Source organism: Homo sapiens, chromosome 9 (genome assembly GCF_000001405.40).
Source record: "Homo sapiens chromosome 9, GRCh38.p14 Primary Assembly".
NCBI classification, from domain to species: Eukaryota; Metazoa; Chordata; class Mammalia; order Primates; family Hominidae; genus Homo; species Homo sapiens.
Window position 1 is genome coordinate 80,655,684 of NC_000009.12, and position 15,135 is coordinate 80,670,818.

Genomic DNA, 15,135 nt, shown 5'->3' on the forward strand with positions numbered 1-15,135 from the left:
TGAATCTGTAAATTACCTTGGGCAGAATGGCCATTTTCACTACATTGATTCTTCCTACCCATGAGCATGGAATGTTCTTCCATTTGTTTGTATCCTCTTTTATTTCCTTGAGCAGTGGTTTGTAGTTCTCCTTGAAGAGGTCTTTCACATCCCTTGTAAGTTGGATTCCTAGGTATTTTATTCTCTTTGAAGCAATTGTGAATGGGAGTTCACTCATGATTTGGCTCTCTGTTTGTCTGTTGTTGGTGTATAAGAATGCTTGTGATTTTTGTACATTGATTTTGTATCCTGAGACTTTGCTGAAGTTGCTTATCCGCTTAAGGAGATTTTGGGCTGAGACAATGGGGTTTTCTAGGTATACAATCATGTCGTCTGCAAACAGGGACAATTTGACTTCCTCTTTTCCTAATTGAATACCCTTTATTTCCTTCTCCTGCCTAATTGCCCTGGCCAGAACTTCCAACACTATGTTGAATAAGAGTGGTGAGAGAGGGCATCCCTGTCTTGTGCCACTTTTCAAAGGGAATGCTTCCAGTTTTTGCCCATTCAGTATGATATTGGCTGTGGGTTTGTCATAGATAGCTCTTATTATTTTGAAATACGTCCCATCAATACCTAATTTATTGAGAGTTTTTAGCATGAAGGGTTGTTGAATTTTGTCAAAGGCTTTTTCTGCATCTATTGAGATAATCATGTGGTTTTTGTCTTTGGCTCTGTTTATATGCTGGATTACATTTATTGATTTGTGTATATTGAACCAGCCTTCCATCCCAGGGATGAAGCCCACTTGATCATGGTGGATAAGCTTTTTGATGTGCAGGTGGATTCATTTTGCCAGTATTTTATTGAGGATTTTTGCATCAATGTTCATCAAGGATATTGGTCTAAATTTCTCTTTTTTGGTTGTGTCTCTGCCCGGCTTTGGTATCAGAATGATGCTGGCCTCATAAAATGAGTTAGGGAGGATTCCCTCTTTTTCTATTGATTGGAATAGTTTCAGAAGGAATGGTACCAGTTCCTCCTTGTACCTCTGGTAGAATTCGGCTGTGAATCCATCTGGTCCTGGAGTCTTTTTGGTTGGTAAACTATTGATGATTGCCACAATTTCACCTCCTGTTACTGGTCTATTCAGAGATTCGACTTCTTCCTGGTTTAGTCTTGGGAGAGTGTATGTGTCGAGGAATTTATCCATTTCTTCTAGATTTTCTAGTTTATTTGCGTAGAGGTGTTTGTAGTATTCTCTGATGGTAGTTTGTATTTCTGTGGGATTGGTGGTGATATCCCCTTTATCATTTTTTATTGTGTCTATTTGATTCTTCTCTCTTTTTTTCTTTATTAGTCTTGCTAGCGATCTATCAATTTTGTTGATCCTTTCAGAAAACCAGCTCCTGGATTCATTAATTTTTTGAAGGGTTTTTTGTGTCTCTATTTCCTTCAGTTCTGCTCTGATTTTAGTTATTTCTTGCCTTCTGCTAGCTTTTGAATGTGTTTGCTCTTTCCTTTCTAGTTCTTTTAATTGTGATGTTAGGGTGTCAATTTTGGATCTTTCCTGCTTTCTCTTGTGGGCATTTAGTGCTATAAATTTCCCTCTACACACTGCTTTGAATGCGTCCCAGAGATTCTGGTATGTTGTGTCTTTGTTCTTGTTGGTTTCAAAGAACGTCTTTATTTATGCCTTCATTTCGTTATGTATCCAGTAGTCATTCAGGAGCAGGTTGTCAGATTCCTTGTAGTTGAGCGGTTTTGAGTGAGATTCTTAATCCTGAGTTCTAGTTTGATTGCACTGTGGTCTGAGAGATAGTTTGTTATAATTTCTGTTCTTTTACATTTGCTGAGGAGAGCTTTACTTCCAAGTATGTGGTCAATTTTGGAATAGGTGTGGTGTGGTGCTGAAAAAAATGTAAATTCTGTTGATTTGGGGTGGAGAGTTCTGTAGATGTCTATCAGGTCTGCTTGGTGCAGAGCTGAGTTCAATTCCTGGGTATCCTTGTTAACTTTCTCTCTCGTTGATCTGTCTAATGTTGACAGTGGGGTGTTAAAGTCTCCCATTATTAATGTGTGGGAGTCTAAGTCTCTTTGTAGGTCACTCAGGACTTGCTTTATGAATCTGGGTGCTCCTGTATTGGGTGCATATATATTTAGGATAGTTAGCTCTTCTTGTTGAATTGATCCCTTTACCATTATGTAATGGCCTTCTTTGTCTCTTTTGATCTTTGTTGGTTTAAAGTCTGTTTTATCAGAGACTAGGATTGCAACCCGTCTTTTTTTGTTTTCCATTGGCTTGGTAGATCTTCCTCCATCCTTTTATTTTGAGCCTATGTGTGTCTCTGCACGTGAGATGGGTTTCCTGAATACAGCACACTGATGGGTCTTGACTCTTTATCCAGTTTGCCAGTCTGTGTCTTTTTATTGGAGCATTTAGTCCATTTACATTTAAAGTTAATATTGTTATGTGTGAATTTGATCCTGTCATTATGATGTTAGCTGGTGATTTTGCTCGTTAGTTGATGCAGTTTCTTCCTCGTCTCGATGGTCTTTACATTTTGGCATGATTTTGCAGTGGCTTGTACCGGTTGTTCCTTTCCATGTTTAGCGCTTCCTTCAGAAGCTCTTTTAGGGCAGGCCTGGTGGTGACAAAATCTCTCAGCATTTGCTTGTCTGTAAAGTATTTTATTTCTCCTTCACTTATGAAGCTTAGTTTGGCTGGATATGAAATTCTGGGTTGAAAATTCTTTTCTTTAAGAATGTTGAATATTAGCCCCCACTCTCTTCTGGCTTGTAGGGTTTCTGCCAAGAGATCTGCTGTTAGTCTGATGGGCTTCCCTTTGTGGGTAACCTGAGCTTTCTTTCTGGCTGCCCTTAACATTTTTTCCTTCATTTCAACTTTGAATCTGACAATTATGTGTCTTGGAGTTGCTCTTCTAGAGGAGTATCTTTGTGGCGTTCTCTGTATTTCCTGAATCTGAATGGTGGCCTGCCTTGCTAGATTGTGGAAGTTCTCCTGGATAATATCCTACAGAGTGTTTTCCAACTTGGTTCCAATCTTCCCATCACTTTCAGGTACACCAATCAGACGTAGATTTGGTCTTTTCACATAGTCCCATATTTCTTGGAGGCTTTGCTCATTTCTTTTTATTCTTATTTCTGTGAAGTTCCCTTCTAGCTTCATTTCATTTCATCTTCCATCGCTGATACTCTTTCTTCCAGTTGATCGCATCTGCTCCTGAGGCTTCTGCATTCTTCACGTAGTTCTCGAGCCTTGGTTTTCAGCTCCATGAGCTCCTTTAAGCACTTCTCTGTATTGGTTATTCTAGTTATACATTCTTCTAAATTTTTTTCAAAGTTTTCAACTTCTTTGCCTTTGGTTTGAATGTCCTCCCGTAGCTCAGAGTAATTTGATCGTCTGAAACCTTTTTCTCTCAGCTCGTCAAAGTCATTCTCCATCTAGCTTTGTTCCGTTGCTGGTGAGGAACTGCATTCCTTTGGAGGAGGAGAGGTGCTCTGCGTTTTAGAGTTTCCAGTTTTTCTGTTCTGTTTTTTCCCCATCTTTGTGGTTTTATCTACTTTTGGTCTTTGATGATGGTGATGTACAGATGGGTTTTCGGTGTGGATGTCCTTTCTGTTTGTTAGTTTTCCTTCTAACAGACAGGACCCTCAGCTGCAGGTCTGTTGGAATACCCTGCCTTGTGAGATGTCAGTGTGCCCCTGCTGGGGGGGTGCCTCCCAGTTAGGCTGCTCGGGGGTCAGGGGTCAGGGACCCACTTGAGGAGGTAGTCTGCCCGTTCTCAGATCTCCAGCTGCGTACTGGGAGAACCACTGCTCTCTTCAAAGCTGTCAGACAGGGACATTTAAGTCTGCAGAGGTTACTGCTGTCTTTTTGTTTGTCTGTGCCCTGCCACCAGACGTGGAGCCTACAGAGGCAGGCAGGCCTCCTTGAGCTGTGGTGGGCTCCACCCAGTTCGAGCTTCCAGGCTGCTTTGTTTACCTAAGCAAGCCTGGGCAATGGAGGGCGCGCTTCCCCCAGCCTGGCTGCCGCCTTGCAGTTTGATCTCAGACTGCTGTGCTAGCAATCAGCGAGACTCCGTGGGCGTAGGACCCTCCGAGCCAGGTGCGGGATATAATCTTGTGGTGTGTCATTGTTTAAGCCGGTCCGAAAAGCGCAATATTCGGGTGGGAGTGACCCGATTTTCCAGGTGCGTCAGTCTCCCCTTTCTTTGACTCAGATAGGGAACTCCCTGACCCCTTGGGCTTCCCAAGTGAGGCAATGCCTCGCCCTGCTTCGGCTCGCCCACGGTGCACGCACCCACTGACCTGCGTCCACTGTCTGGCACTCCCTAGTGAGATGAACCCGGTACCTCGGATGGAAATGCAGAAATCACCGTCTTCTGCGTCGCTCACGCTGGGAGCTGTAGACCCGAGCTGTTCCTATTCGGCCATCTTGGCTCCTCCCTCGACTTCCTCTTTTCCTAATTGAATGCCCTTTATTTCCTTCTCCTGCCTAATTGCCCTGGCCAGAACTTCCAACACTATGTTGAATAAGAGTGGTGAGAGAGGGCATCACTGTCTTGTGCCAGTTTTCAAAGGGAATGCTTCCAGTTTTTGCCCATCCCGTATGATATTGGCTGTGGGTTTGTCATAGATAGCTCTTATTATTTTGAGATACATCCCATCGATACCTAATTTATTGAGAGTTTTTAGCATGAAGAGTTGTTGAATTTTGTCAAAGGCTTTTTCTGCATCTATTGAGATAATCATGTGGTTTTTGTCTTTGGTTCTGTTTATATGATGGATTATGTTTATTGATTTGCATATATTGAACCAGCCTTGCATCCCAGGGATGAAGCCCACTTGATCATGGTGGATAAGCTTTTTGACGTGCTGCTGGATTCGGTTTGCCAGTATTTTATTGAGGATTTTTGCATCAATGTTCATCAAGGATATTTGTCTAAAATTCTCTTTTTTTTGTTGTCTCTGCCAGGCTTTGGTATCAAGATGATGCTGGTCTCATAAAATGAGTTAGGGAGGATTCCCTCTTTTTCTATTGATTGGAATAGTTTCAGAAGGAATGGTACCAGTTCCTCCTTGTACCTCTGGTAGAATTTGGCTGTGAATCCATCTGGTCCTGGACTGTTTTTGGTTTTTAAGCTATTAATTATTGCCTCAATTTCAGAGCCTGTTGTTGGTCTATTCAGAGATTCAACTTCTTCCTGGTTTAGTCTTGGGAGAGTGTATGTGGCAAGGAATTTATCCATTTCTTCTAGGTTTTCTAGTTTATTTGTGTAGAGGTGCTTATAGTATTCTCTGATGGTAGTTTGTATTTCTGTGGGATTGGTGGTGATATCCCCTTTATCATTTTTTATTTGCGTTTATTTGATTCTTCTCTCTTTTCTTCTTTATTAGTCTTGCTATCGGTCTATCAATTTTGTTGATCTTTTCAAAAAACCAGCTCCTGGATTTGTTGATTTTTTTGAAGAGTTTTTTGTGTCTCTATTTCCTTCAGTTCTCCTCTGATCTTAGTTATTTCTTGCCTTCTGCTAGCTTTTCAATGTGTTTGCTCTTGCTTCTCTTGTTCTTTTAATTGTGATGTTACAGTGTCAATTTTAGATATTCTCTTCTTTCCCTTGTGGGCATTTAGTGCTATAAATTTCCCTCTATACACTGCTTTGAATGTGTCCCAGATATTCTGGTATGTTGTGTCTTTGTTATCATTGGTTTCAAAGTACATCTTTACTTCTGCCTTCATTTCATTATGTACCCAGTAGTCATTCCGGAGCAGCTTGTTCAGTTTCCATGTCGTTGAGCAGTTGTGAGTGAGTTTCTGGATCCTGAGTTCTAGTTTGATTGCACTGTGGTCTGTGAGACACTTTGTTATAATTTCTGTTCTTCTGCATTTGCTAAGGAGTGCTTTACTTCCAACTATGTGGTCAATTTTGTAATAAGTGCAGTGTGGTGCAGAGAAGAATGTATATTCTGTTGTTCTGGGATGGAGAATCCTGTAGATGTCTATTAGGTCTGCTTGGTGCAGAGCTGAGTTCAATTCCTGGATATCCTTGTTAACTTTCTGTCTTGCTGATCTGTCAAATGTTGACAGTGGGGTGTTAATGTCTCCCATTATTATTGTGTGGGAGTCTAAGTCTCTTTGTAGGTCACTCAGGACTTGCTTTATGAATCTGGGTGCTCCTGTATTGGGTGCATATATATTTAGGATAGTTAGCTCTTCTTGTTGAATTGATCCCTTTACCATTATGTAATGGCCTTCTTTGTCTCTTTGGATCTTTGTTGGTTTAAAGTCTGTTTTATCAGAGACTAGGATTGCAACCCCTGCCTTTTTTTGTTTTCCATTGGCTTGGTAGATCTCCCTCCATCCCTTTATTTTGAGCCTATGTGTGTCTCTGCACATGAGGTGGGTTGCCTGAATACAGCACACTGATGGGTCTTGACTCTTTATCCAATTTGCCAGTCTGTGTCTTTTAATTGGAGCATTTAGCCCATTTACATTTAAGGTTAATATTGTTATGTGTAAATTTGATCCTGTCATTATGATGTTAGCTGGTGATTTTGCTCATTAATTGATGCAATTTCTTCCTAGCCTCATTGGTCTTTACAATTTGGCATGTTTTTGCAGTGGCTGGTACTGGTTGTTCCTTTCCATGTTTAGTGCTTCCTTCAGGATCTCTTTTAGGGCAGGCCTGGTGGTGACAGAATCTCTCAGCATTTGCTTGTCTGTAAAGTATTTTATTTCTCCTTCACTTATGAAGCTTAGTTTGGCTGGATATGAAATTCTGGGTTGAAAATTCTTTTCTTTAAGAATGTTGAATATTGGCCCCCACTCTCTTCTGGCTTGTAGAGTTTCTGCTGAGAGATCAGCTGTTAGTCTGATGGGCTTCCCTTTGTGGGTAACCTGAGCTTTCTTTCTGGCTGCCCTTAACATTTTTTCCTTCATTTCAACTTTGGTGAATCTGACAATTATGTTTCTTGGAGTTGCTCTTCTCAAGGAGTATCTTTGTGGCGTTCTCTGTATTTCCTGAATCTGAATGTTGGCCTGCCTTGCTAGATTGTGGAAGTTCTCCTGGATAATATCCTGCAGAGTGTTTTCCAACTTGGTTCCATTCTCCCCGTCACTTTCAGGTACACCAATGAGATGTAGATTTGGTCTTTTCACATAGTCCCATATTTCTTGGAGGCTTTGTTCATTTCTTTTTAGTCTTTTTTCTCTACACTTCTCTTCTCACTTCATTTCATTCATTTCGTCTTCCATCACTGATACCCTTTCTTGCAGTTGATTGAATCGGCTACTGAGGCTTGTGCATTCATCACATAGCTCTTATGCCGTGGTTTTCTGCTCCATCAGGTCCTTTAAGGGCTTGTCTGCTTTGATTATTCTAGTTAACCATTCATCTTATTTTTTTTCAAGGTTTTTAACTTCTTCGCCATTGGTTCAAACTTCCTCTTTTAGCTCAGTGTAGTTTGATTGTCTGAAGCCTTCCTCTCTTAAATCGTCAGTCATTCTCCATCCAGCTTTGTTCCGTTGCTGGTGAGGAGCTGCATTCCTTTGGAGGAGGAGAGGCACTCTGATTTTTAGAGTGTCCAGTTTTTCTGCTCTGTTTTTTCCCCATCTTTGTGGTTTTATCTACCTTTGGTCTTTGATGATGGTGACGTACAGATGGGTTTTTGGTGTGGATGTCTTTTGTGTTTGTTAGTTTTCCTTCTAACAGACAGGACCCTCAGCTGCAGGTCTGTTGGAGTTTGCTGGAGGTCCACTCCAGACCCTGTTTGCCTGAGTATCAGCAGAGGTGGCTGCAGAACAGCGGATATTGGTGAACCGCAAATGCTGCTGCCTGATCGTTCCTCTGGAAGTTATGTCTCAGAGGAGTACCCGGCCGTGTGAGGTGTCAGTCTGCCCCTACTTGGGGAGGGGGTGCCTTTCAGTTAGGCTACTCGGGGGTCAGGGACCCACTTGAGGAGGCAGTCTGTGCATTCTTAGATCTCCAGCTGCATGCTGGGATACCCACTACTCTCTTCAAAGCTGTCAGACAGGGACATTTAAGTCTGCAGAGGTCACTGCTGCCTTTTGTTTGTCTGTGCCCTACACCCAGAGGTGGAGCCTACAAAGTCAGGCAGGCCTCCTTGAGCTGTGGTGGGCTCCACCCATTTCGAGCTTCCTAGCCACTTTGTTTACCTACTCAAGCCTCTGCAATGGCGGGTGCCCCTCCTCCAGCCTTGCTGCTGCCTTGCAGTTTGATCTCAGACTGCTGTGCTAGGTATGAGTGAGGCTCTGTGGGCATAGGACCCTTTGAGCCAGGTGTGGGATATAATCTCCTGGCGTGCCATTTGTTAAACCCATTGGAAAAGCGCAGTATTAGGGTGGCAGTGACCCTATTTTCCGTGTGCCGTCTGTCACCCCTTTCTTTGACTAGGAAAGGGAATTCCCTTACCCCTTGCGCTTCCCAGGTAAGGCGATGCCTCGCCCTGCTTCGGCTCATGCACAGTGCACTGCACCCACTGTCCTGCACCCACTGTCCAGCACTCCCCAGTGAGATGAACCTAGTACCTCAGTTGGAAATGCAGAAATCACCTGTCTTCTGCATCGCTCACACTGGGAGCTGTAGACTGGAGCTGTTCCTATTCAGCCATCATGGCTCCACCCACCCTTCTGTTTCATTTTATTGATAAAAGTTAAATGCAGGCTGTGAGTTAGCATAAAAGCTCTGGGAGGTAAAGAAATTGGTAGAGTCTGCATCATCTTGTAGGCTCTTCCTTCACAAAATCTACTGAGTACTCATGGCACAGATTGGAAAGAGAACTAAAAAGTACTTGTGGTGCAGGCCAGGAAAAGGGAGGAGCATGTGCAAGGAAAGGACAAGAAACGCTGACCACATCCTTCTTTCAAACTTCTGCAGTGGAAAAAAAAAAAAGCCTTAATATGTGACAAAAGGAGAACAGGCATTGCTGCAGTTGGGACACTAGTCAAAACTTACTGCAGCCAGAGTAGGCAATAGAAGAACCCTGCCACTAGGATAAGGCTAAGATGATTAATGAAGTCCATAAACAAATTCAGGGCATAGGTGCTAGAACCAAGAAGGCTACACACTAAGACTGAGCCTTGCTCAAAACGACAAAGATTGCAAATCCTTCCAGCCCCCACCACTCCAAATAACTCCCATCACCAAATTAACGTATTTAACAAGTAAAAGCAGAATATTGCTGGGGAAGGGCAAAATGAGTAACAAAAGCATGTGACAAGACTTTCTCTGAGACAGAGTACAAAGAGATGACCTTAACAGGACAATCAGACTCTTACTGTGCTGGTGAATCAACCCCAATGTAAACACTAGGTGTCTCTACAGGAATTGGAATCCTGTGTTGCACTGAGGTTAACCACACCTACAATAAATCTAAAATCTAGGTAAACTCCTCATCGTCTTAATTCAATCTCCTTCATGAAAGACCTAGTGGGAAGAAACTCTTTTTACTATTGTTAGTCTTTGGATAGTTAATTATAACTTGATTGTTCAATTAACCCTAAAATATATCTGTAAGTAGATTTCTGAAATCTACTCATTTGAAGCATCTGGGGTGAATTCTGTTTCCTGCTAGAACCCTGACACTTATATGTGCAGTGGTAAACCATACATTTTACTGTTTCTCAAACTTTTTTTTAAATTTGTACAAATTTATGGGGCACATATGAAATTTTGTTACATGTATTAAATGCATGGTGAACAAGTCAGGTTATTAAGGTATTCACCAACCAAATACATTTTTAGTAACTATAGTCACCCTACTCTGCTATCAAATGCTGAATTTATTTTTTTTTATCTAACTGTATGTTTGTACACTTTAACCCATTTCTCTTCATCCTTCCCTCCCTGTGTCACTCACCCCTAGCAGTCTCTGTTATCTTTCTACTTTCTGCCTCCATGAGATGAACTGTTTTAGCTTTCATGTATAAGTGAGAACATGCAATATTTTTGTGTGTGTGTGTGTGTGCCTGGCTTATTTCACTTAAGATAATAGCCTCCAGATCCATTCATGTTGCTTCAAATGACATGATTGTAATCTTTTATATGGGTGGGTAGTGTGTCATTGTGTGTATATACCACATTTTCTTTATCCATTCATCCATTGATGGACACTTAGGTTGATTCCATATCTTTGCTACTATAAATAGTGCTACAGCAAACACATAAATGCAAGTATCCCTTTGATATATTGATTTCTTTTCCTTTGAAAAGTAATGGGATTGGTGGACAAAACAGTAGTTCTATTTTTAGTTTTTGAGAGGCCTCCATACTGTTTACTAGAGTTGGTGTACTAGTTTACATTCTGACCAAGAGCGTGTAAGAGTTCCTTTTCTCTGCATCCTTGCCAACATCTATCATTTTTTTTTTTTGCGTTTTTAATAATAGTCATTTTAACTGAGGTAATATAATACCTCACTGTAGTTTTATTTGCATTTTTTCAGATGTTTGGTGCTGTTGGCATTTTTTTGTATACCTGTTGGTCATTTGTATTTCTTCTCTTGAGAAATGCCTATTCATGCCTTTTGTCCACTTGATAATGGGATAATTTTGTTTTTTTTCCTGATGAGTTATTTGAGTTTCTGGTGCATTCTGGATGTTAGCATCCTGTTGGAAAATAGTTTGCAGATATTTTCTCCCATTCAGTAGGTTGTCTCCTTCATTCTGTTTATTATTTCTTTTGCTGTACAGAAGCTTTTTAGTTTAATTAAGTACTATTTGCCAACTTTTATTTTCTGTTGCCTGTGCGTTTCAGGTCTTAGTCAAAAATTATTTGCCTAGGCCAATGACTAGGAGATTTCCCTTGGCTTTTTTCTAGTAATTTTGTAGTTTTTGGTATACATTTAAGTCTTTAATCCACTTGGAGTTGATTTTTGTAGATGGCGAGAGACAGGGGTCCAGTTTTATTCTTCTGTGTGTGGATATCCCATTTTCCTAGCATCGTTTATTAAAGAGGGTATATTAGTCTGTTCTCACACTGCTATACAGAACTGCCTGAAACTGGGTAATTTATAAAGGAAAGAAGCTTCATTGACTCACAGTTCCGCATGGATTGGCCGGGGGTGGTGGGGGGTGCTCAGGAAACTTACAAGCATGGTGGAAGGTGAAGCAAACATGTCCTTCACATGGCAGCAGGAGACAGAAGTGCTGAGCAAAGGGGGAAAAGCCCCTTATAAAACCACCAGATTTAATGATAACTCACTATCATGAAAACAGCATGAGAGTAACCACCTTATGATTAAATTACCTCCCACCAGGTCCCATCCCTATCGCAACATGTGGGTACTATGGGAACTAGAATTCAAGATGGGATTTGGGTGGAAACACAGCCAAACCATATCAGAGTATCCTTTCCTTAATGTAAGTTCTTTTCAGCTTTGTGAAAGATCAGTTGACTGTAAATATGTGGCTTTATTTCAGGGCTCTCCATTCAGTTTTGTTGGGCTTTCTTTGTTGATATCAATACTATGTTATTTTGCTTACTATAGCCTTGTAATATATGTTGAAGTCAGGAAATGTGATACCTATAACTTTGTTCTTTTTGCTTAGGATTGTTTTGACTATTTGGAGTCTTTTAAATTCCATATGAATTTTAAGATTGTTTTTTCTAATTCTGCGAGGAATGATGTTGGCATTTTAATAGGAATGTCATTGAATCTGTACATTGCTTTGGGTAGTATCATCATTTTAACAATATTATTCAGATCTATGTGCATGGGATGTCTCCATTTTTTGTCTCCTTTTCTGTTTCTTTCATTTCTCTGTATGGTGTGTGTGTGTGCGTGAGTTTTGCAGAGGCTTTTCACCTCCTTGGTTAAATTTCCTAGGTATTTCATTTTTGGTAGCAATTGTAAATGGATTGCCTTCTTGATTTCTTTCATGGCTATATCATTATTTGTATATAAAAACACTACTAATTTTTGTACCTTGATTTTGTATCCTGAAACTTTACCAGATTCATTTAGCAAATCTAGAGTATTTTTGGTGTAGAGTCTCTAGGTTTTTATAAATATAAGATTATGTTATCAGTAAAAAGGCAATCTGACTTCCCCTTTTCCAATTTGGATGACTTTCATTTCTTATTTATTTTTTATTATACTTTAAGTTCTGGGATACATGTACAGAACGTGCAGGTTTGTTACATAGGTATACATGTGCCATGGTGGTTTGCTGCACCCATCAACCCATCACCTACATTAGGTATTTCTCCTAATGCTATCTCTCCCCCAGTCCCCCACCCTCTGACAGGATCTGGTGTGTGATGTTCCCCTCTCTGTGTACATGTGATAGACTGGATAAAGAAAATGTGGCACATATAGGCCATGGAATACTATGCAGCCATAAAAAAGGATGAGTTCATGTCTTTTGCAGGGACATGGATGAAGCTGGAAACCATCATTCTCAGAAAACTAACATAGGAACAGAAAACCAAACACTGCATGTTCTCACTCATAAGTGGGAGTTGAACAATGAGAACACATGGACTTTTATTTCTTTCTCTTGCCTGATTGCTCTGGCTAGAACTTCCAGTACTATGTTGAGTAGAGGTGATTAAAGTAGGCATCTTTATCTTATTCCATTTCTTAGAAGAAATGCTTTCAACTGTTTATTTTGTCTCTATTTTTTTAGTTCTGCAGTAATCTTCATTATTTCTTTACTTCCACTAATCTGGGGTTTGGTTGGTTCTTGCTTTTCTAGTTCCTGTAGGTGCAACATTAGTTTATTTGAATTTTTCTTGCATTTTTGATGTAAGTGTTTATTGCTATAAACTTTTAGCACTGCTTTTGCTGTATCCCATTGGATTTGGTATGTTGTGTTTCAATTTTCATTTGTCTCAAGATTGTTTTTCTTTCCTTGATTTTTTTCCTTTACCCAATAGTGTACAGGAGCATCTTGCTTAATTTTCATGTATTTGTAAACTTCCAAAGGTCCTGTGTTATTGATTTCTAGTTTTACTCCATTGTAGTCTGGGAAGATCCTTGATAAGATTTTAATTTTTTTTTTTTTTTTTTTTTTTTTTTTTTGAGACGGAGTCTCACTCCATCACCCAGGCTGGAGTGCAGTGGCACAATCTCGGCTCACTGGAAGCTCTGCCTCCTGGGTTCACACCATTCTCCTGCCTCAGCCTCCTCATTAGCTGGGACTACAGGCGCCTGCCACCACGCCTGGCTAATTTTTTTGTATTTTTTTAGTAGAGATAGGGTTTCACTGTGTTAGCCAGGATGGTCTTGATCTCCTGACCTCGTTATCTCCCCACCTCAGCCTCCCAATGTGCTGGGATTACAGGCATGAGCCACCACGCCAGCTGATTTTAATTTTTAAAAAATATGTTCAGACTTATTTTGTGGCCTAATGTATGGTCTATCATGGAGAATGCTCCATGTGTTGATGAAAATAATGTATATTCTGCAGTTGTTGGACAGAATGTTCTGCGCATCTGTTAGATTCATTTAGTCTAAAGTCCAGTTTAAATCCAGTGTTTCTTTGTTGATTTTCTATCTATATGGTCTGTCTAATGCTGAGAGTGGGGTGTTGATGCCCTCCACTATTAATTCATTGCCATCTATTAGATCTAGTAATATTTCCTTTATGGGTACTCCAATGTCGTGTGCATATATATTTGTAATTGTTGTATCTTCTTGCTGAATCAATCCCTTTATCATCATGTGATAACTTTGTCTTTTCTCTTTTTTTTTTTTTTTTTTACTCTTTTTGATTTAAAATCTGTTTTATCTGAATAAAGAATAGCTACCATTGCTTGCTTTTGGGTTTTGTGGACTATCTTCTTCCATCCCTTTACTTTTATTCTGTATGCATCCTTCCTGGCCCACTGATGATACATGCTGTGTTGGTATTGGTAGATTATGTTGGCCTAACCTCAGACCCCAGGAGGAGTGTTCAGATGCCAAAAGTGGTGGATTCAGCTTTGGGAAATTTGGGCAAATGTGGTGGGCAATTTCCAGGCCCCTGGAAGATATGTTTGAATACTACGGGCATGACACTGTGCTCTGCAGGACTTGTTCTCTGGCACCATGGTAGTGCATTCAGGCACTGGCTGTGATAGGCAGGGACAGGATGGTCTATAGGCCCCTGTCAAAATGCTTTGCTGTGGGCAGTGGCAGTTGCATTATACGCCTGCCACTGGGGAGGGCCAGGCTACTCTCAATGGCAGCAGCATAGGCAGATAGCTGTGAGAGAGGTGTTTTCCCCACACCTTGGTCCTGCAGTAGCCCACAGAACTGATGGTAGAATTTGTCCTCACAAAGTGTGAAAGGGCCTGCCTCCCTTCTCCCTCTTTGGCCTGGGAGCAGTAACATCAGCATTAGCTTTGACCCGAAGGCAAGACGCAGGCCTTTGGAATCCAGGTTCTCAGAATTGTATCAGCTGCAGGCCTATGATTGGAGGATGAGTGGTGGGGGTGCCCTCTCTCAGCTGGAGCAGCATAAGTGGGTAGCAGAAAGGAGTCCGGTTTGCTTGTGCCTTGGTTCCACAGAAGCCCACAGCAACAGCAGTGGGATTTGTACTTACGGTATGTGAAAGTACCTGCCTCTCCTTCTTCCTCCTTGGCCAGGGAGGAGAGCAGCAGTTTTGGCCTCAAGGCAGGACACAGTCTCTTGAGAGCTTAGTTCTCAGAATGGCACCAAGCTGCAGCAGCTCAGGACTCAAAGCCTGTGGGATGCAGTGTGAGTTCTCTCTCTCTCTAAAGCAATGCCATGGTATAGCCTCTAGGCAACTCCATATGTTAGTCCTGAGGCCTGCATGGATTGAGGGGTTCTCCTGTAGCTAGGACTGTAAAAGTTCATGGCAGAAATGCGGAGCCCTGGGAGACTGTCACTTACCTTTTTCCCTCATCCAGCTGTTTCTCCCAGTTCCCAGCTCGTCTCTGCTGAGCAGGGTGCCTAACTTCCCTCTCCTTTGTTTTTGGTGGTTCCCATTGCTTCTCCATTGAATTCCATTGTTCTCTCTTAGACAATCTATTTGAAATGAGAATATTTACTTGATATTTTGGTTCGTTTTTGTGGAGGAGGCACGCAGTAGCTGCAGCTAGTCAACCACCTTGAACCCCTCTCCCTACTTCTAAAACTTTCAATATTGCATTCTTTTTAAGATTTGC

At 41.3% G+C, this 15,135-nt stretch overlaps 1 annotated feature.

Annotated features, from left to right (window-relative positions):
• Nucleotides 9,038-9,548: an enhancer, noted in NCBI's record as "NANOG hESC enhancer chr9:83279636-83280146 (GRCh37/hg19 assembly coordinates)". NCBI's record gives its function as "activates a minimal SCP1, AML or CMV promoter by ChIP-STARR-seq in naive H9 embryonic stem cells {active_cell/tissue: H9 hESC(naive)}" and the evidence as "EXISTENCE:reporter gene assay evidence [ECO:0000049][PMID:30033119]".